The following is a 23557-nucleotide window of genomic DNA, read 5'->3' as shown; positions in this document are numbered from 1 at the left end:
GAAATGTATGGATTAAAAGTTTAGTAAAAATTTAAAAACAATATACAAAAAGGTGAAACGTTTGACAAAGAAATGGAAAAAATTTAATAATCAGATTAAAATCCTAGAGATGAAGAACACAATGACTAACCTAAAAATATATAATAGAAAGCTTCAACAGCAGACTTAATAAACCACAGAAAAGAACCAGTGAGCTGGAAGAATAAACATATAAAATTATCCAGTCAGAGAAGCAAAAAGACAAAATAATAAAAAATAAGAAAGAAAGCCTGCTAGAATTCTGAGACAACATCAAGCGATCAAATTATGCACAATAAGCGTTTAGATAGGGAAGAAGGAAAAAAAGGGCCAGAAAGCATATTCAGTGAAATTATGACTGAAATTTGCCCTAATCTGAGGATACAGGCCAGCATCCAGTTACAAGAAGCACAGAGTTCTTCAATCAAATTCAATTAAAAGAAGAGTAAACCATGATAAATTATAGTTAAAATAATAATTAAATTATCAAAAAATAAAGACAAAGAAAAAAATTGAGAGCTGCAAGAGATAAGAAATACATCATATAGAAAAGTGTGCCAATTCTACTATCAGCAGATTTCTCAGTAGAATCCCTGCAGGCCAGGAAAGAGTATGATAATATGTTTAAAGTGCTGAAGGAAATGTCTCTCCACATACACACACATAGACACACATACACACCCCCCCAACAAACAAAACCCTTGCTAAACAAGACTACTTTACCCAACAAATCTGTATTTCATAAGTGAGGGAGAAATAAAAACTTTCTCAGACAAATGAAAGCTAAGGGATTTGATCACCATTAGACCTGCCTACAGTAATTGTTAAAGGGAGATATTTAAACTAAAACAAAGAGCTATTAGTTAATAACATAAAACATACAAAAACACAAAACTCAATGGTAAAAATAAAACACAGCCGTAGTTAGAATATTTTAGAGTTTTAAAAATGGTACATAGGGCAATTTCGTCCCAAGTATGAAGGTAAAAAACAAAACTATTAATAACTATAGCTAAGTTAAATTGTCAAGGAATACACACTACAAAATGATGTAAATTCTAATATAAAATGTAGGGTGGAGATAGTAGAAGTCTAGAGTTGTATGCAGTTACATGTAAGTTCTTGAGAGGTTGACATAGGCTGTTATAAGTTTAAGATATTTTAGGTAAGCCTCATGGTAACCACAAATCCAAAATCTTTAATAGAAGCACAATACAAAAATGGAAAAGATTCAAAGCACCCTGCTAAAGAAAGCTATCAAATCACAAAGAAAGATGGCGAGAGAAAAAGAAACAATTATCTACAAACAGCCAGGAAACAATTAACAAGATGGCAGTAGCAAGTCCTTATGTATCAATCATTAGCTTGATAGTAAATGGACTAAATTCTCCAACATAAAGACCCAAAGTGGGTGAATTAATTTAATTTAAAAAAAAAGATCCAGCTCTATGCTGAATAGAAGACACTCACCTCACCTTTAAAGATATATATAGACTGAAAATGAAGGAAGAAAGAGAGATATTCCATGCAAATGGAAACCAAAAGGCAGCATGGTGGATATAAATATATCAGCCAAAATAGACTTTAAGTAAAAAACAGTAAAAAGAGGCAAAAATGACATTATATATTGATAAAGGAATTAATTCATCAAGAGAATATAACAATTCTAAATATGCACCCAACACCTGAGCACCTAAATATATAAAACAAATATTAAATAATCAGAAGGGAAACAGCAATACAATAATGGTAGGATATTTCAATACCCTACTTTCAAAAATTGATTGATCATTCAAACAGAAAATTGATAAGGAAATTTTGGACTCAAACAATTCACTAAATCACATGGACCTAAAAGACATATACAGAATATTTTATCCAAAACAATGGAATAAACATTCATCAAGGGTACGTGGAACATCATACCACAAGGACACAGAAAAAGAAGCCCAAAGTTAGCAGAAGGAAAGAAATAATAATGATCAGAGTAGAAATAAATGAATTGGAGACTAGAAAAATAATACAAAGTTGCCTGTTCACTCTGATGGTAGTTGCTTTTGCTGTGCAGAAGCTCTTTAGTTTAATTAGATCCCATTTGTCAATTTTGTCTTTTGTTGCCATTGCTTTTGGTGTTTTGGACATGAAGTCCTTGCCCATGCCTATGTCCTGAATGGTAATGCCTAGGTTTTCTTCTAGGGTTTTTATGGTTTTAGGTCTAACGTTTAAATCTTTAATCCATCTTGAATTGATTTTTGTATAAGGTGTAAGGAAGGGATCCAGTTTCAGCTTTCTACATATGGCTAGCCAGTTTTCCCAGCACCATTTATTAAATAGGGAATCCTTTCCCCATTGCTTGTTTTTCTCAGGTTTGTCAAAGATCAGATAGTTGTAAGTATGCGGCATTATTTCTGAGGGCTCTGTTCTGTTCCATTGATCTATATCTCTGTTTTGGTACCAGTACCATGCTGTTTTGGTTACTGTAGCCTTGTAGTATAGTTTGAAGTCAGGTAGTGTGATGCAGAGTGAACAGGCAACCTACAAAATGGGAGAAAATTTTTGCAACCTACTCATCTGACAAAGGGCTAATATCCAGAATCTACAATGAACTCAAACAAATTTACAAGAAAAAAACAAACAACCCCATCAAAAAGTGGGCGAAGGACATGAACAGACACTTCTCAAAAGAAGACATTTATGCAGCCAAAAAACACATGAAAAAATGCTCATCATCACTAGCCATTAGAGAAATGCAAATCAAAACCACTATGAGATACCATCTCACACCAGTTAGAATGGCAATCATTAAAAAGTCAGGAAACAACAGGTGCTGGAGAGGATGTGGAGAAATAGGAACACTTTTACACTGTTGGTGGGACTGTAAACTAGTTCAACCATTGTGGAAGACAGTGTGGCGATTCCTCAGGGATCTAGTACTAGAAATACCACTTGACCCAGCCATCCCATTACTGGGTATATACCCAAATGACTATAAATCATGCTGCTATAAAGACACATGCACACGTATGTTTATTGCGGCATTATTCACAATAGCAAAGACTTGGAACCAACCCAAATGTCCAACAATGATAGACTGGATTAAGAAAATGTGGCACATATACACCATGGAATACTATGCAGCCATAAAAAATGATGAGTTCATGTCCTTTGTAGGGACATGGATGAAATTGGAAATCATCATTCTCAGTAAACTATCGCAAGAACAAAAAACCAAACACCGCATATTCTCACTCATAGGTGGGAATTGAACAATGAGATCACATGGACACAGGAAGGGGAATATCACACTCTGGGAACTGTGGTGGGGTGGGGGGAGGGGGGAGGGATAGCATTGGGAGATATACCTAATGCTAGATGACGAGTTAGTGGGTGCAGCGCACCAGCATGGCACATGTATACATATGTAACTAACCTGCAGAATGTGCACATTTACCCTAAAACTTAAAGTATAATAAAAAAAAAGAAAAATAATACAAAGGATCAACAAAGCAATAAGTGGGTTGTTTTGAAAAGATAAACCAAATAGGCAAACTTTAGCTACCTGTATTAGTCCGTTCTCATGCTGCTATGAAGAAATACCTGAGACTGGGTAATTTATAAAGAAAACAAGTTTAATTGCCTCACAGTTCCGCATGGCTGGCAAGGCCTCAGGAAATTTACAATTATGGCAGAAGGCATCTCTTCACAGGTCAGCAGGAGAGAGAATGAGTGCAAGCAGGGAAAATGCCAGACACCTATAAAACCATCAGATCTCGTGAGACTCATTCGCTGTCACTAGAACAGCATGGGGAAACTGCCCCCATGATCCAAGTGATACGGGAGTTAAGACAAAATTACTTAGGCAGATAGTGAGGGTACAAAAGCCCTAGGTAAGGTTTTCCTTTTAATGAAAAGCCCCAAATCATTTTCCTTTCTAGCAGCCTGTAAAATTGAGCTGCAGACATAGATGCTGGCAGTTGTGCCAATCACGTTCAAAATGGTGGCCCCACGTTCCCTTCTCTGCCAGTCACTTCTACAGTAAGGAGCAGACAAGATGGCACTGGCCAAGGGGAAAGTTCATTTGCATAATAAAATTAGGGTGGAGCTACCATCCTTCCTTCACCCTATGTAAACATCACACCTGATCGAACCAATCTGTGATCCCTAGGTAAATCAGACACCGCCTCCTCAAGCCTGCCAATAAATCCTACATACTCTGCCACCAGCCAGTCTTTTCTTCTCAGAAGTCCCCGCTCTCTCACTAGAGAGAGAGCTGTTTTCCTTTCCCTTTCTCTCTATTAAATCTCCACTCCTAAACTCCTCGTGTGTGTCCATGTCTTAAATATTTTTGGCACCAGACGATGAGCCCCGGGTATTTACCCCAGACAATGTAGCCACTTCGCAGTTACCTCTACCTGGTCCTGCCCTTGACATCTGGGGATTATGGGGATTACAATTCAAGGAGAGAATTGTGCGGAGACACAGAGGCAAACTATATCACTACCTGAAAAAAAAAAAAAGACAAGACGAAAAGAAAAACAATCGAAAATGAAAGAGGAGACATTATAACTGATACCATAGAAATGCAAACAATCATAATAACCTACTATAAATATTTATACACCAACAAATTTGACAAACTATAAGAAACTGATAGATTTCTATACAAATACAACCTACCAAGATTAAATTATGGGCAAATAGAACATATGAACAAACCAATAGTAAGTGAGGGGATTGAATCGTGATAATAAGTCCCTCTTCAAGGAAAATCCCACAACCTGATGACTTGTGGTCTAATTATACCAAATATTTAAAGAGGAACTAACGCCAGTCTTTTTCAGGTTTTTCCATAAATCAAAGTGGGAATACTTTCAAGCTCTTCTTATGAGTCCATTGTTACCCTGATATCAAAACCAGAAAGAACATTACAAAAGAAAGAAAATTACAGACCAATATCCTTGATGAACATGGATGTACAAATCCTCAAAAATATACTAACAAACTGAACTTCAGACCACATTAAAAATATAATCAACCATGATCAAGTAGGATTTAGCCCTAAAATGCAAAGATGTTTCAATATACAGAAATCAATAAATCTGATACATCACATTAACAGAATGAAAGCCAGAAGTCATGTGATCATCCCATTAGATGTAGAAAAAACATTTGAAAAATTCAACATCCTTCCATGATATTACCTCTCACCAAATTAGGTATAGCAGGAATGTACCTCAACACAGTAAAGGTCATTTATGAAATCCCTACAGCTAACATTATACACAACAGTGAAAAATTGAAAGCCTTTCCTCTAAGATTAGGAAAAAGACAAGGATACCCACTCTTGCCTCTTCGATTTAAGATAGTTGTAGATGTCACTACCAGAGCAATTAGGCAAGACAAATAAATAGAAGACTTTCAAAAAGGAAAAGAAGAGTGAAATTGTCACTGCTTGCTGACACTATTATTTTATATACAACAACCTGTTAAGATTCCTTCAAAAGAACTGTTAAAACTAAGCATGAATAAAGTTGTAAGATACAAAATCAGCACACACAAATCAGTAGCATATTTATACACTAGCAAAAAAACTATCTTAAAAAGAAATAGAGATAAAAATCCCATTTATAATAAGTACAAAAAAGTAAACAAAATACTTAGCAATAAATTGAACTAAGGGGGTAAAAACCTGTACACTGTAAGCTATAAAATGTTAATGAAAGAAATTAAAGAAGATGAAAATTAATGAAAAGATATTCCATGTTCAGGCATTAAAAGAATTAATACTGTTTAAATGTCCTTACTACCCAAAACAATCTACAGATTCAATTCAATCTCTATCAATATTCTAATGTCATTTTTCATAGAAATAGAAAAACAATTTCAAAATGCATATGGAATCACAGACACAAAAAAACCTCTGAATAACTAAGGCAATCATGAGCAAAAAGAACAAAGCTGGAGGTATCAGACTGTCTGATTTCAAACTATGGTATTGGGGAAAAAAGTGACACATTAACCAATGATACAGAATAGAGACCCCAGAAATAAACCCACAAACGTATAGTCAATTGACTTTTGACAAAGGTGCCAAGAAGACACAATGAGAAAAATGACAGTTTGCTAAATAAATAAGGTAAAAACTGAATTTCCACATGCAGAAGAATAATTGAGACTCTTAGCTCACACTATAAACAAAAATCAACACAAAATGGATTAAAGACTTAAACATAGGGCCGGGCGAGTTGGCTCATGCCTGTAATCCCAGCACTTTGGGAGGCTGAGGTGGGTGGATCGCTTGAGGTCAGGAGTTTGAGACCAGACTGGCTAACATAGTGAAACCCCATTTCTACTAAAAATACAAAAATTAGCCGGGCGTGATGGCAGGTGCCTGTAATCCCAGCTACTCAGGAGGCTGAGGCAGGAGAATCACTTGAACCTGGGAGGTGGCGGTTGCAGTGAGCCGGGATTGTGCCACTGCACCCCAGCCTGGGCGACAGAGTGAGAATCCTTCTAAAAAAAATAAAAATATTTTTATGTGTCAAATGTTCTTTATTTTTGGTAGTTACGTAATTTTTAAAAATAACCCTGAATGCGGTATTATGTTATTAACACCAATTAAAAGATAAAAAATTTGATTTGTGCTGAAATTACCCATGCTGGCATAGATAATACAAAACTAAATTCACATAGACTCTCATAGCTAATATACCACTGAAAGTGTTAACTCTTGCTATGCAACCAACCACCCTACAACATAGTGGCTTAATATTTTATGGATTTATTGTTCTCTTGTTTCTAGGAGTACGCAGAGCAGTTTACTGATGTGGGCATGTTCTGCTGATCTCTGCTAAATTTGTTCATGAGTCCGGGCCTGGGAATGCTAAGGTCCTCTCCGTGTGTCTCATATTCCTCTAGCAGGCTAGCCCAAGCAGATTCTCTGACTAGCCTATACATATTTTCATATTGATTACACAGAAGCAATAGCAAGCACACTAAATTGTTTAAGAGAATGAGCAGAGATGCATACAAGCTTTCCAGTTTTTGCCATCTCATATTTGCTAGCATCTGATTGGTCAAAGGAAATCACATAGACAAGATAAATCAAAGTGAGACGAGATACAAAGTTATGGGGCAAAGAGCATTCATATTACCTAAATTATGAAAATCAACTGAACTAATAGGCCAATACCTATGTTCTGGTCCCAATTATTCACAATCCTCTATCGTGCAAAAAATACATTTACCTTTCTTAAAACTCTCGGAGTCTAATTTGGTCAATGGCCTTAAGATTCCTAGTAGTAAACTATGGGTGAGATGTTGACTAGAAATCACCTTAATACATTCAGAGGTCTTAAAAAAGGATCTTACAAATCTTATAACCACACTTCTCATTGGAATTTAGTCTCTATTTCCAGAATCATGTGATGTACATCAGACCTGATGTGACTCTTCTTGTTCCAGAAACCCAGGAACTAAAAAATTGTTACATCGTTCTACATATACACTCATGATAAACTGGTGAGATGGACACAAGATAATTACAATTATCATTTACTTTCAAAAAAAGGAAGGAATGGAGGACCACCAGACGTTGCTCAATAGAAAATCCAAACTTCACTTGGGCCAGTATAAAGTTCCCTAGTTCACAGATAGAAAAATTATTTGACCGGACATTGGTTATGCTTTCTATGTGGCTTTTCAGTGTGTTGCTTAAGACACATACATCTGCCCTCTGGAAGATCTTTCGTTTTCCATTGTCTTCCATATTCACTTCTGAAGGAAGCATTGGAAAATATGTCATCGATAAAATTTTTCAACCTGCTTTTGCCTTGTAGATAGTTGGAGATGAAGAATTTCTCTTAAAAAATTAACTAGTTCCAGTCCTTTTTGGTTCACCCATATGGCACCTTCACCTGTACAATTCTCTTAATTGTAATTGTGTGAACCTCCTATGAACTTGAATGGAAAATATCTGATTTGAGAAAAACCACATCTAATGTGTATTTCTCTATATAGACTTAATTGTTTCTATTCTGGGAGTTTGGCTGTTGTGGGAAAATGCCCATGAGATTCCTCAGATGTTTTTGTTTTTGTTTTTGCTTTTTGGGGGGTTTGCTTTTTATTTATTTATTTATTTATTTATTTATTTATTTATTTATTTTATCTAGATAATAGAGTTGACTGTAGATTTTATCATAACACATTTAGATATCTTTTTTTTCTGAAGCAGAGTTTTGCTCTTCTTGCCTAGACTGGAGTGGAATGGCATGATCTTGGCTCAATGCAACCTCTGCCTCCTGCGTTCAAGCGATTCTCCTGCCTCAGCCTACCGAGTAGCTGGGATTACAGGCGTGCACCACCATGCCCAGCGAATTTTTTTTTGTATTTTTAGTAGGCATGGGGTTTCACCATGTTAGCCAGGCTGGTCTTGAACTCCTGACCTTGGGTGATCTGCCCCGCCTTGGCCTCCCAAAGTGCTAGGATGAGCCACCGTGCCTGGCCTAGATATCTTAATAACAAATTATTGCGGAAACTTAGTTTAACTTTTATCCTGAGTGTGTGCCCTTTTGTTTTTAACAGCTTGAGAGGATGGAGATGTTAATCAGTTTTAATTTCTATTCTAAATACACTCACTCTAAATTCCATTTCTAAGTGTGTCAGTTTTCTTTTAACTTATCTCTTTCTTGTAACCTCTTATAACATTTTGAGCAACTTTCTGACCTTTTAACATTCTGCTAGAAAATGTTTAAAATGTTTTTAAATATCTGAAAGTGAATTTGCTAAACTGTTCTAATTTCCCACCTATCACTACATACATTTTTAACAAACGCTTTAAATTACATAACATGGATTGCTATTGGAGGCTAGTTTTCTATTCTTCTAGAATGTTTAAGCATTTTTTAACCTCTGCTAATAATTTACTAACCCTTTCTCTAGCCTGTACTAACAAATTGCTAAGTGTCATTGCTAGTTTTCTAGCCTCTGCATGCTACCTGATCCCAAAGCTAGCATCACATATTTGGGGTTTTGTTCTAAGATTATGTCTCCTATGGTACTGATTTTATGTCTATGAACCAACTGTGTAACAAAGCACCCCCCAAAAAAATCTATCTGTTGTTTCTCTCAATCCTGTTGTACTGATTATGTCCAAGATCAACTGACCTCAACTGGGCTTGCTTATATATTCATAGTCAACTGACTGGTTAGCTGGGTACTGACTGTTCTAGGGTGGCTTTGGATAGTACAATTGGGCTTTCCTCCGCATGTACATCAGCTATCTTTTCCTCCCTGTAACAAATCATCCCCAAGCTTAGAGGCTTACAACATCCACCTTTTGTGATCCAATTTTGTGGATCAGCAATTTGGGCTATGCTTCATCCATCTTATATGAGGTTTCCCAGTGGCTCAGTGAAGTCCAGATAGCCTAATATTGCCTCACCCCCATGCCTGGCAGTTGGTGCTGGCTGCAGTGATTCTTCTTTTCTCCCAAATTGCTCTCTCAACCTCAGAGAGGCTAGTTTTTCCTTCTTCACATAGTAGTCACTGCATTGCAAGAAAGTGAGAATGAATGCTGACAGGTATATGGAGGTGCAGCTTGGAAGTCACACAACTCCTTCTGTGTTGTTAACGGCAAGTCACAAGCCGAGCCATATTCTTGAGGTGATGAAACACATTCCGCTTTTTGATGGGAAAAGCAGCAAAGAGCTTCAGGCCATTTTAATCTGCAACAACTTGTCTTGCAAATCCCCCCTGAAGCCTGGCAATTGTGGAGAAGCAAGAGAGAGCAAACCCAATGGTATAAGCATGAAAGCAGAAATTCACTCATGTTTCAAGCCTGTTTACATCCCACTTGTTAACTTCCCACTGGACAAACCAAGTGACCTGGCAAAGCCTCATGTCATGAAGAAAACTATCAGCTTATAACAGGTGTATAAAAAAGTCAGCCATTGAAACAACACAAGCAATCCACCACTACTACCAAGTGGTGAAGATAAAGTTCAGACATCGCTCTACTTCACTACAAAGCTGAAATCAGACACACACACCGTAAGGCATAATTTAAGGATTGTTACTTTAAGAACAGTTTCTTCAATTTAAATTATTTTCCACAGATGGAAGAATATAAACTATAGTTTTGAAAGTCAGAGAAAGATATACAGGATCAAATCCCAATTCTACAATAACTGTTTGATGTCAGGCAAGTTAATGAAACTCTCCCACGCCTCAGTTTTCTCATCTATAAAAAATGTTATTCATACCCTATCTCAATGATTTCTTATAAAGTTTAAATTAAATAATGATGGATCATGAGGTCAAACATTTTAATATATTTTCTTTTACTGTTCTATCCCAGAACCTAGAGGATTCTTGAATCATTGTTATTCTCATGCCATTTAGATAATGACCTTTTTAGGTACCAGTCCTAATTGTCCTTCAGCCATATTGACCTACATCTATTTTATTAAACATCCCAGCCTTTTCTCAATGATCCCCTTTGTCTCTTTCTCAAAGGACTGTTTCTCTTTATTATGCTCAGAGCTCACTCATGTTAGAAGGGACACTTTCTCATCAAAGTATTTTCTGGCCCCCAACCCCTGTAAAGTGTGCTGCATCCATTTTTACATTTGTTTAGAGCCTAGAGATTTCTAGCACAGCTCCTTTTAAACTTTGCACTGTTTATTTATTCATATGACTCTGATCTCCATCCAGACTCTGAATTTCCCTAGGGAAGACACTGTATCTTTTTTCTTTCTTTTTTTTCCTCTCTCTAAGGTTTTGAAGAGTTAGAATTTGGCAAGATTTCAGTATGGAATTATTTTCTTTCATTTTTAGTCACTACCTTCAATCATGTTCTGTGGAATTTCTCATCCCTACCCCTTCACATTGCATTCTGGTCCATGCCTCTGGGCTGATTTTCAGTTGCTAGTCATGCTGGGTACACTCTCACATCCCCCGCACTCCTCCCTCCTGTTCAGGCAGGATATCCAGCCCCTCTTCTTCTCCTCCCCTCCCTCTTCTGGTTTTGCTTCCTCGGGTGTGGAGGTGAAGAGGAGGACACACTGGTCTCTGAAAATAGCTCTCTTTTAGGGCTCTAGGAAAAGCCATGAAGCCCAACCTGGGCAAAGAACTGCTCTTCCCCACAGCAGCCTTGAGGATGAGGACTGTGGGGGTGTGGTGAAGTGTCAATGGGGCCAACCGAAGCCAAATTACACACCACTTCCGAAGATCTGGAGGCAGGATGTGAATTGTAGCGAATCACATGCTTTTTAGAACAACAATTCTGAAGTAATTTTGCCTGCATGCTGGAATCACCTGGAGAATATTACAAAGCACTCCAAATGTTGGGATGTAAATTTTTGTTGTGCAGACTGGGTATCAAAAATTAAACAAAACAAATCAACAACAAAAGCAAAAAACTTCCTATTTGGTTCTAATGTGTTGCTCAGCTGGAGAGCCATAGCTACAGAAGGTGATGTTGCTTAAGGTCTTTTCTTGCCTCAGTTTGTCTTTGTAAGCAATGGTAGGGGACCCAGAAAACATCCCATTAAACATTCCATTATGACTCTATCCTTCAAATCTACACTGCCCTTGATCCCAGGTAAGTCCTTGATAAATGCTTATTGAGAAAAGCAATGCGTATTTTTTCTACTACAGTGTCAGTTTGGGAAAGAAATTCGGTTGATTTGTTTAAATTGTCTACCTCACACACTTTCCCCTGCAGAGACTTGCACATAATAGGGACATAATCAACACAGACTTGAAATAGAATGTGGACATTGTCACTGCTTTTATTTTAGTGGCATTAATCACACTGCAGGAAAAAAACCATAAAGATCACTTATGAGTGCAGCTTTTTACCATTTACAAAACTTTTTTTTTCAATTTTAGTGTCTATTCTGATCTTACATCATTCTAAGTGTGGTTTTAATTTTTTCTTTTAAAACATAAGAGAGAGTTGAGGCTAGGAAAATGTAATGACTACGTACCTGGTAGTTCAGAGTTAGTAAGTGTACAACAGAGAATTGAACCCTGACCTATCACTTCCAATTATATGTCACTTCTAGAATGCTTAGCCATTAGTTCCATTGGCTTCTACACACGTTAACTTCTTTCATTTTCTTTTTAACCAAAACTTCCGTAAAAGTTCCACAGGGAAATCTGCTTCCTTTGGTGGGACTATGACACATTTGGCGGGTACAATGAACAGCAACCAACCTAACAACTGGGAAAATAATTTTAAAAAGACAATTATATGATAACTACCCACAAGATGTTATCATCAAGCAAGTATTGCTAATATGGGCCCTTTGCAAATGTAACTTATTGTCTCATTAGGAAAGCCCAAAGAAAGAAAAAGGAAATTAATCCAAAATTAGAAGTTAATTAGAAATGTGTGATGAATTGCATGTTGCAGATATACAGATATTAAACAGAAAATGTGAATGTTACACAGTTATTAAGGAAAATATATGCCTTTTATTATATTTGAGGGAAAAAGATGATGTGCTAATCATAACTCATTTAAGATTGCACCTTCAATGAAAGCTGAAATAGGCATAATGCCAAGGTTTATTCAAACAATGTCCGTTCAATAGCTCAGGATGAGATGAGTTTCTTCAGAAATGTGAGGTAACCAGCTTTAAATATAATAAGATGGAGACCAGTCATGGGACTTCTCACAGCAGAGAAAGCCACATTGAGATGGACTGGAGACAGGACTCAGCCCACCCGCACTGGCCCGAAACCCCCTGAGACCTTGCAAAATATCTGAGAACGCTAAGACACGCAACACTGGCTACAAATCTTACCCAAGGCAGGGGATCCTACCATCATGCACACAAGACCGGGAGGTTGATGGCCCTAACATTTAACTCATTGTAATACTAACATCTCCCCCACTGTTTTCTAATCATGCCATGCAATGCATGTGTTAGCATGATTTCTCACTGGGCCTGTGCACCAGCGCTCTACCCACCACATGTAAGGATGCTTACTGAGCTCATTACTTACTTATGGTACCCTCCTCTAGATACCACTAGGACCCACCTTGGGGAGCCAACTAGGAAACCCTTCCTCCTGCACTGTTTCCCTTAGCTCCAACCTTTCCAGGCATAAGTGTTCAAAATCTTGTCTAGGAAAAGTGTGCCAGACTTCATGTTAATTTCTATTGCATTGAAAGCCAAGAACGTTGTGTTAGCAACAACGTGAACAAGCCAGCTTAATTTCTGAACATAAGCAAAACTTAACTTTGGTTATTTCTTGTAAAGTCTCTAATAATCATAAAGAAAACTTGAGTTGCCTTCCAAAAATGGCATAAAGCAGTCATCTTTAACAAATCTCCTGCTATCAGGAAACCGTCATTGTAATAACTAATCATTGTAAAGGTTAAATGATTTCTTCATTTTTACTTTATAAACCATCCTGTAACTGTGCTTCTGAGCCTCTCACCACTTTCAGTTTAACGTCTCCTGGATCACAATGTACCCTCCTTAAAGAAAAGATGATACAATTTTACATTTTCTAAGTGGATCTGATTTTATTTTTGACATCAACAAAGTAGACCTTACATTTAATATTTCGAAATAAAATTAGGAAGCTAGACTTTGCAAAACAGAATAATAATAATTACTGTTTCAGTTTAATGTCTCCTGGATCACAGTGTACCTTCCTTGATGACAAGATAATAAACTTTTACATTTTCTAACTGGATCTGATTTTATTTTTGACAACAGAAAAGTAGACCTTACATTTAATATTTCAAAATAAAATTAGGTAGCTAGACTTTGCAAAAAAATAAATTAAAGGCTTGGAGTTAAATGTAAATATCAGGTAAGCAATTTTTCCATATTTTTAGTATATGTTCTATGCATATTATAGACATATTTATACCAAGAATTTTATTATCCGAAATTTAACTTTGAGGCTGCATTTTATCTGACAACCCTAAAATGGGGTCAAGAACAATAAACTTTCTAATACAAATCCAATCAATGTCCTCTTAAACATTGTTCTTCATTTGGGCATGATATGATGTTAAATGAGGAATATCTGTGGAAGAGGAATTCAAGCAGATTCAAGTGAAGGACACTTATTTTCTCACTTTGAATCTATTATTATTCATTACTGTATTAACTATGTTTTCTCGTTTTCTGTATTCATGATGCTCTGGCATCTGGGGGCTTGCTGACTCGGGTGAGATTCCCCCCACCCCCACAGGGCTAGCTAATTCAGAGAAAGAGCAAACAACTGGCCTGTGAGTTCACCTTTCATGTACAAACAAACCAAACTGGAGCCCACACCCCTCAACTGCCTCCTTTATTGACCACTCACACATCACACCCTGCCCTCATCAGCCCAGGGCCAGACACCGGACAACTGGGGATAGTCCCTATTCTGTGGCCTACTGTGCTTGTCAGCTAGCCAATCCTAAGCCTGCTCACTCTGACTCCTGTGTTTCTTCCAACAGAAACAACAGTAAAAATGTGGTCCAGGCCTGGCGCGGTGGCTCACACCTGTAATCTCAGCACTTTGGGAAGTCAAGGTGGGCAGATCACGAGGTCAGGAGTTCAAGACCAGCCTGACCAACATGATGAAATCCCATCTCTACTAAAAATACAAAAATTAGCCGGGTGTGGTGGCATGTGCCTGTAATCCCACCTACTCAGGAGGCTGAGGCAGGAGAATGGCTTAAACCCAGGAGACAGAGGTTTCAGTGAGGCGAGATTGCACCACTGCACTCCAGCCTGGGTGACAGAGCGAGACTCCATTTCAAAAAAGAAAAACTGTGGTCCATACTCCCCCGCCCCTCTGCCTTCTGACTCACCTGCTGCTTCCCCACGTGTGGCCCTGCATGGCGTGCCTTGCCTCTTGTTTCCAAGAACCTAAGAGTATAACAACTTCTTCCTTCACGACACTCACGTCCATTTCTAATCAATCCTGGGTATATTTTTACTAAGTATATTAGTAGGAGAAGGTTAAATCCCTTTTTAAAAACCAAAAATGTTAACCTAGAAAGAACCTATCATAATTCTCTCAGAAAAGGGCTACATTTATGCAGAAGAAAAATGTGGGAGACGTAATATTGAGCCCTCGCCCTATCAGAGCTGGCTGTGGGATTCTAGCAACTCCCATTTCTCTTCCTCTATAATTCAGTTGAAACAACACAAAAAAAGCCAATATAAAAAAAAACCATTAAATACAGCGCGCTACCCATATAAAAAGATATAGGAAAACACTTTCTGTCTTACTTTTGTCAATTACAGGCCTTCACACCTGGTTGCCGCTCTACCTGCAATAATCTTCTTGCATGCTTTTATGGCTACTCCTAGTACAAATCCTTCATGTTTAAGTGCTGCTTGTATCCTTACTTTCGTATAGATGCCCCTTCAATATTCTCTTAATGCATCTATTTCCCCATAATTGTCTTAACCATGGTTATATTTTCATGCATAAACAATGTCTTTCATGCATTATTGGAATAAAACTAAAAACACACTTTATTTTTGTTCCACTCTCTCCTTAAAATTCATGCAGAGAGGAAAGTCTTTTCTTCTTGGTTTTATTAAAAAAATAAATGGGCAGATTTGATGACTTTTTCCTCACTCCTAGGTAATTCATTATCTTAAATTCACTTTGTCATAAAACACTCTCATTCTACAAATTAAAATGTCCAACTTTTTGTAAGAAAAAAAATCTAAACTTGTTTTAAACGTCAGTGTTCTTCCCATTCCCATCTGAGTTCCTGACAGCCTCACCACGCACAGTTGATGGGAGAGGTGAAGAGTGTCTTTTCTTCTTTGTTCCTTTATTTACTGGAACTTTACTGTTCTATCTGGTCCCTGTGAGGTCTGAGCATAGGCAAGGGGAAGGGGAAAGAGATAGTGCGAGTTTTCACTGAATGATTGTTTTACATTTTCCCTATAGATATAGAAAGCCTTTTCTCTGATGGGCAATTGCTGGAAACTGCTCTCTCTGACTTAATATTATTTTCTTTATTACATGTATCACTAATGCAAGAATTTTGTGCATATCTTTCTAGAGCCTTTAAGAAATTGACATTAGCCTTGAGCTTCTTTTCTCCACTCAGTAGTTTGATTGGACAAGACACAAAAGACCCAGTTGGATCTCTAATGCTTAGTCCATGGTGCATCATTAAAAATCCCATAGGGGACATACTCTGGGAAGGATGCTGGATCCCTAGACAGACGCAAATCTACTGGCCTTTACAACAGGCACTTAGTCCTTCTCTTGCCCTGAGGATTATGTGAACAGCAGTTTGCCCCCCATGCACTAAGCCTCCCAACTGCGAAGTCAGCTACTTTTCTCTTTAATAAATCCCATTGATGTTTTGCTCCCCTGCATCACTAGCTTCAGGCCAGGACTCCTTAAAAGGTGAGACTCAGGGCACTTCAATGGCACCTCCGAAATCCTTTAGTTGGCTGCACTTTGCCTATGTTTTCTACCGGACTTTACTCTGTGAAGGCATCACTCATAGTCCATACTTATCCTATTTATTATAGAGAGTTGTTGTGTGTAATATATTGCCACATACATTGCTAATGTCTAACGCATAGTTTAAACATTGATCAATTTATTAAACATTTTCGTTTGCAGCAAGTTATTAAAACTTGATAAATATCCAAGTATAAATAAATAAACATAGAAATAGTTAACTTACAAAGTATCACAGGCAGCCAGCCACCAAACATTTTGCCAATTTAAAAAGCAATATTGTTTTTAGAGGTAAATATTAGGCACTAAGAATGTTTTATGTATCTCAATCATCAATGTATCAGGAAATCACTATGAAAATTAGGTCATAAGAACATTTTAAAAATTTAAAAGTTCACTCAATATAATACACATAACTGACCCATATTTAAAGAGTCAATCTTGCTAAATTATCTAATTAACTATTTTATTAAAGGTAACTTTTGATTTTTAGGAGAATATCTTATTTTAACATGTGCATTCTTTGTTAGTGAAAGAATAGATTATTACAAACCGACTAAACACCAAATTGGCAATATAATTCAACTCCTATCTCTACATTTATAATTTTATTTCTCAGAATTCAACCCAGATAATTCAGTAGAAACACATTTTAAACAAAGATTGATGTACAGGTATCTTTATTGTAGCACAATGCATAATACATAAAATTGCATAGCAAGGAAATATTTAAACATATTATGTTAAGTTCATACAATGAGATGCTACATAGCAAAAATGCTGTCTTGGACAGGTGTGGTGGTTCACAGTTGTAATTCCAGCACCTTGGTAGGCCAAGGCAGGTGGATCACCTGAGTTTGGGAGTTGGAGACTAGTCTGGCCAACATGGTGAAACGTTGTCTCTACTAAAAATACAAAAATTAGCCAGGCTTGGTGGCACATGCCTGTAATCCCAGCTACTTGGGAGGCTGAGGCAGGAGAATCGCTTGAACCCGGGAGGCAGAGGTTGCAGTGAGCTGAGATCGCGCCATTGCACTCCAGCCTGGGAGACAGAGCGAGACTATCTCAAAACAACAACAACAAAAAAACAAAAACAGACAAACAAACAAACAAGTGCAGTCCCTACCGGTACTAAAATTTTGATCCGATTCCCAGATAATACTACATTTCAATGTGCGTGCGTGCATATGCATGTACGTGGGGTTTGGAAGGTGCTGATGTTTTAGAAAGAACTATAGATATCATCTATATCTATGTTATATTCTGATATTTTCTCCTTATTGCATTGCATTGTTTTCTATTCCATCCTATTTATGTTCCTTACAATAGTCCTGTAGGTCAGATAATAGACCCATTGTACAGATGAAAGAATCACTGAACGAAAAGTAGAGAGAGACCTTTCTATAACTTAAGTCTCAACCTCCAAGTCAATTTACTAATGTTATTCTATGGGCTTTGGAATTAAATAAATGTTTTCTGATTTCCACTGTACTAAGTTTCTGAGTAAGCAATGAATAGATAAAACAGTCTTTTCCCTCATAGAGTTTTACTATGGAAGAGAGGTGTGTGACTAGTAACTGCAGTGGAGTTAAGTAGTAACAATTAACTACCTGTCATGACATAGAATGATGAGTCAAAGAAATAAGTCATCAAATACAAATATTCTTCCCCTTTGAACTGTGTAATTATGAGCTATTTGATGGACACTGGTGCTTCTTCAAACATTTTTAAAGTAGGAAGTAGGAATAATACCTACATGATTAAATGTTATAATGATTAACAGAGGTCATTTCTGTAATTAAATTAGCACCGAAGCTGATCATATGTGGACTGTAAATGCTAGTCCTTTGCCCCTTTGAACTGGATTAAAGATGCACCTACCATTTCCTGGACTCACAAATCAGCTGAAGTATGTGAAGAAAAAAAAAAAAGGTAAAAATAAAGCACATCAGTCAAAGAAAGCAGCAGAAAGAATTATAAGCTATTATTCCAGAGCCAATTTAGTCTCCATTTATTTGACAGATTGGCACCTTGTAAATATGTCACTTGTCATAATTGGGCTGTCAGAATCACGATTTGGCCTCACACAAATGGCTTTTCTAATACAGTAACCTGCTCTTTCCTTCTGCACAGGCATGTGTTGCCTTTCTACCCCATACTGTGTCCTTGTGGACATGGTGAGGGAGGACAGGATTCTACGTGGTTCAGTAGAGTAGCTCCAGTGCTTGAATTCGCTTTGTAGTAGCTTTCTTGGTCCTTTACTAAGCTGGAAGTGAGCTTTTACATTCTAGTGTACAGTACCAAGTTTGCATTCAGTAAGTTTTCCTTTATTTCCTGGGTAAGATGACAATGAGCCTATCTATGTTGCTTTCTACCACTCGATTTCAATTAGAATGGCAAACAGAAAAAAAAAGAATATAAAGATGGGAGTAAAATGTTTGTATATAGGAGTATCCGTATTTAATTCTTCAGGATGTTGACAAAACAACAAAAACTACCACTGATTTCTGATTTGTAAACTAAGTGAGTGGCTACATTACATCAGAGGATGTTGTAATATTCCAACTTACTACTTTTTCTGAGAAAGGGCATATGCCCAGGAGATAAGTGGAAGTGCCTGAGGATAAACCATCTTACAACTCCCTCTTAGAGGGAAATGTGGGGGAGCCAGGTGGAGGGGCAGGGGGTTAGGAGGTAGGGTGCGGGGTAAAACATTTAGAGAACAAATGAACTCCCACCTGCCTTGGGCAAGTCCCAGGGATCAGGCTTGGAATGTGTTTGTGTGTGAGTAGAGGAGGAGGTGGGATGAGGCTGAAGGACAACAAGGAGAAAGTGAATGGGTGAAGGAAAAAAAAGTATTTTGACATGAATAAGTGAACTTCATTAAACATGGCAAAGGAAAAGAAGAGGCAACTTGTACTGGAGAGAATGCCTATGGCCCCAGGTATCTCTCAGCTTTCATAGACTGATGCAGTCATGAACGTCTGGTTTGCATTAACAGAATGTCTGAAAAATCCACTCATAAAGAAAACAGCATGTGGTTCCATATTAGTAGTTGGTAAAACCTTTTTAAAAAGCTATAAACCAAGTTCCAAATTTACAAAAGAAAGATCACCAAATGTAGGAAAATATAGCTCTTTGGAACCACCATTCTAAAGAAGAAAGACCCTTTGAATATTCAGAGTAATGTTTTATTGTCAAAAGAATTAAGGTACATACACAGGAAGTTTTTTAAAAGCTGAGTAGAGTTCTCAACAAATGAAAAGGAGGACATTGTTTCTTAAAAATAAAAAAGAGAGAAAGTCGTTGTTAAAATGACTTAAAATCAGGAAAGATTGTAAGAGCTTTACAATCAGATGAACTATTACAAACTGTAAGGCTATGAAAAAAAATATTGCATGCTGAAACCTTTAGAAAACTTGTCAAAATAAGAAATCAAGCTTTCAATTTTCTCCCAAACATAAAAGTAGAAACTGCTAAAGAATTGAATAGCTATGAAAAAGAATATGAGCTATTAATGAGAGAATTATGGTATGACACAACAGAGATAACAGAATAAACAAAACAGAAACATTGATTGAAGAATCGTAGAATAAAACTTTATCAAGGTTTTAGCAAAGTAACTTGTACCAGACTCTTTTTTGCAGTAAACAACTATAAAAATGGGAAAACAATATATAAGGCAACAGTTTATTCGCACTGGAAAACAGGCTTTGATTGTTAAGAGGAGACGAACTCATCAAATGATGTCCATGCCAGTCCAGCCTTCTGCCAGGGATAATGTCTCAACCATGCCGACGAGAACAGTCAAACTCTGTGAAACCAAATTATCGTCAATGAAAACAGTCTAACCCTGTAAAATATTTGAAGAGGTTTATTCTGAACCAAATATGAGTGACCATGGCCCTTGACACAGCCCTCAGGAAGTTATGAGAATATGGGCCCAAGGAGATCAGGGTGCAGCTTTGTTTTAGACATTTTAGGGAGACATGAGACATCAATGAAATACATTTAAGAAATACATGGTTTGGTCCAAAAAGGTGAGACAACTGAAAGCCTGGGCAGCTAGGGGGGTGGGGAGAGCTTCCAGGCTATAGGTAAATTTAAACATTTTCTGGTTAACAATTGGTTGAGTTTGTCTAAAGACCTGCGATCAACAGAAAGGAATGTCTGGGGTTGCGATAACAGGTTGCAGAGACCACAGTTTTACTATACAGATGAAGCTTTTAGCTCACAGGCTTCAGAGAGAATAGGTTGTAAAATGTGTCTTATCAGACTTAAAGTCTGTGTTGATGCAAATGCTGGAGAGGTATAATGAGGCATGTCCATCTCCCACTTTCCTTCATGTCCTGAACCAGTCTTTCAGGTTAAATTTTAAGAGCCCTGGCTGAGGAGGAAATCCATTCAGATGGTTGGGGGGCCTTAGAATTTTATTTTTTGTTTACAATTGATACGCAAGAAGGGCAGGGAAGTGCTGGGAGGAGATGGGCAGGATCCCTGGCATGGGCTCTACCCTCCAGCCTGTGCCCAGGGACCGAGGTAAAGACAGGGACTCCTGCCTTTGTGCCCAAATATTGCATTTTCCAAGACCACTCTGGCCTTCCATGCCTTTGTCCTGTCCTATAAAAGCCCCAAGACCCTAGAGGGCACAGACACAAGCGGCTGGACGTCAAGAGGAGCACACTGGTGGAAGAGCACAACGACAGGCCCTGGCAAATGCCAGCCGTCAACAACTGAACGATGTGAAGTTTGGCCAGGACAGTCAGAGGAGAGCCCAGCTGCTGGGCGGCCTGACTCCAGGGGAAAACCACCTTCCCACACCATCCCGCTTCTGGCCTGCCATCCACCTCACTGAGATCCACCACCACTCAGTAAAAAATCTTGCACCCATCCTCCAAGCCCACACGTGATCCAATTCTTCCGGTACACCAAGGCAAGAACCTGGGATACAGAAAGCCCTCTGTTCTTGTGATAAGGCAGAGGGTCTAATTGAGCTGATAAACACAAGCTGTCTATGGATGGCTAAACTGAAAGAGCACACTGTAACACATGCCCACTGGGGCTTCAGGTGTAAACATTCACCCCTAGACACTGCCATGGGGTCAGAGCCCCACAACCTGCCAGTCTGCATGCTTCCCATAGAGGTTTGAACAGCAGGACACTGAAGAAGTGAGCCACATACCCATTGCACGCCCTGCAAGGGGGATTAGGAAACTTTTCCCATTTCACAACCACATCAAAATCAGCTTTGCTCTAAGAAGTATATGACTGCTCCCTCGAGCTAAGGAGGCAAAGATAAGAGTCTGGGGAAGTAAAGTAGTTGAAATCTGTAATGCAGAACACTAGAGACAAAGAGTTCTTCAGGGGCACCGAAAGTTATATTTGGTCACTCATGAGTGGCTGGAGGGCTGGCAGGAGATGAACTGGATGAGAATGTACAAGGTTACCTAGAGAGCAGCTGCAGGGCTGAGCATAGAACAGACACTAGGGTTTGGGTAACACTGAAATATGCCCCAGTTCTGACTGAGACAAAATGTAGAGATACATTAGTGTCTATTGTCACATGTGTCAGCCTGTTTGTGTTGCTACAAAGGAATACCTAAGATGGGGTAGTTTATGAAGAATGAGGTTTATTTGGCTCATGGTTCTGCAGTCTATACAAGAAGCATGGTGCCAGCATCTGCTTCTGGTGAAGGCTTCACGGAGCTTTCAATCACTGTGGAAGGGAAAGAGGAGACAGCGAGTCACGTGGCAAGAGAGGGAGCAAAAGAGAGGGGGTAGGTGCTCTGAACTTTTAACCAACCAGCTCTCATGTGAAGAAACAGAGCAATAACTCATCCATTACCACAGGTGGGAGCACCAAGCCATTCATGTGGGATCTGCCTTTGTGACCTGAACACATTCCACCAGGCTCCACCTCCAACATCCAGGCAAATTGAATGAGATAAGTTTACAAAATTTGTGATTTAACATGAGATTGGAGGCAACAAACACCATTCTGCACATGCAAGCAGGCCACCAGAAATGTCAAGCCTTAAAAGAAGAGCAAGACCCTAAAACAAGATTTTGTCTAGACATCTTCAAACAAAGCCGAAAACTAAGCCTTTAGATCTGCCAGAAAGACAGAATATGAAGGTGAAGCTCTACCCAGTTTTGGAGCCCAAGAAGCATCTTGGGCTTTCACAGCTCTGCCCAGACAAAGGGTAAAGCTAAGCCTTTACAAGTTCAAGGTGATAATTTAGTCACTAAACTGCTTTCTTGAACAAATTATCAACAGCCTGCAGAGGAAGATAACAGAATCCATTGTATAAACCACATTGTACTACATATAGTCAAATATTACTAAACATCCAAAGAAAAATGAAAATGTAACCATGTATAGGAAAAAATAAGCCAGTAAGAAACAAACCTGATGTATCCAGAGGTTGAATTTAATATGTATTTTGTAAAAGCTTTGTTCACAAAATTAAAGAAGAATTTGTTAATATTAGTTATCTCTTGCTGCAAAACAAATTACTCCAAACCTCAGCAGGTAAAAAGCCACAAACTTGCGTTATTTCATAGTTTCTATGGATCAGTAATTTTGGCACAGCTTAACTTGTTCCTCTGCTTCAGGGTACCTCACAAGACTACCAATTATTGGCAAATACTGGGATAACACCTAAAGACTCAACTGGGGAAAGATCTGCCTTTCAGCTATAAAAATGGGTTTTGGCAGCATTCAGTTTTTTGTGGGCTGTTGAAATGAGAACCTGGGTTCCTGGCCGGCTGCTGGCTGGAGGTCGCTCTCAGTTCTGTGCTATGTGTACCCCTCCAACATGGCCACGTGCTTCATCAAAGTCAGCAAGACAGAGTGTCTGCTAGCAAGATGGAAATCACAGTATTTTCTAAACTAATCTTGGAAATGACATCTTATATTTTTGGCTATATTTTATTGATTAGAAAAAAAAGTTATAAAGTATGTCCACATTCAAAGAGAGGACATTATAACAAGGGCCTCAATAGTGAAAAAGAAAAGGTGCCGATAATTGGGTGCTATCTTAGAAGCTGACGTATAATATTAGCCAACAGAGAATGCAAATTA

The 23557-nt window shown here is 38.1% G+C and overlaps 1 long non-coding RNA gene across 1 annotated transcript in view, besides 1 other annotated feature; it reads right to left on the bottom strand.

Moving 5' to 3' along the window:
• LINC02055 (long intergenic non-protein coding RNA 2055) overlaps window positions 1-23557 on the bottom strand; it is a 366804-nt gene that overhangs the window by 145996 nt on the left and 197251 nt on the right. The gene's annotated exons all lie outside the window — the stretch shown is intronic.
• Window positions 12614-13142: an enhancer, noted in NCBI's record as "NANOG hESC enhancer chr8:137750707-137751235 (GRCh37/hg19 assembly coordinates)". NCBI's record gives its function as "activates a minimal SCP1, AML or CMV promoter by ChIP-STARR-seq in naive H9 embryonic stem cells {active_cell/tissue: H9 hESC(naive)}" and the evidence as "EXISTENCE:reporter gene assay evidence [ECO:0000049][PMID:30033119]".

Source organism: Homo sapiens, chromosome 8 (genome assembly GCF_000001405.40).
Source record: "Homo sapiens chromosome 8, GRCh38.p14 Primary Assembly".
In the NCBI taxonomy this organism is placed as follows: Eukaryota; Metazoa; Chordata; class Mammalia; order Primates; family Hominidae; genus Homo; species Homo sapiens.
The sequence above is the reverse complement of the archived record's forward strand: the minus strand, read 5'-3'. Positions and strand labels throughout refer to the sequence as shown.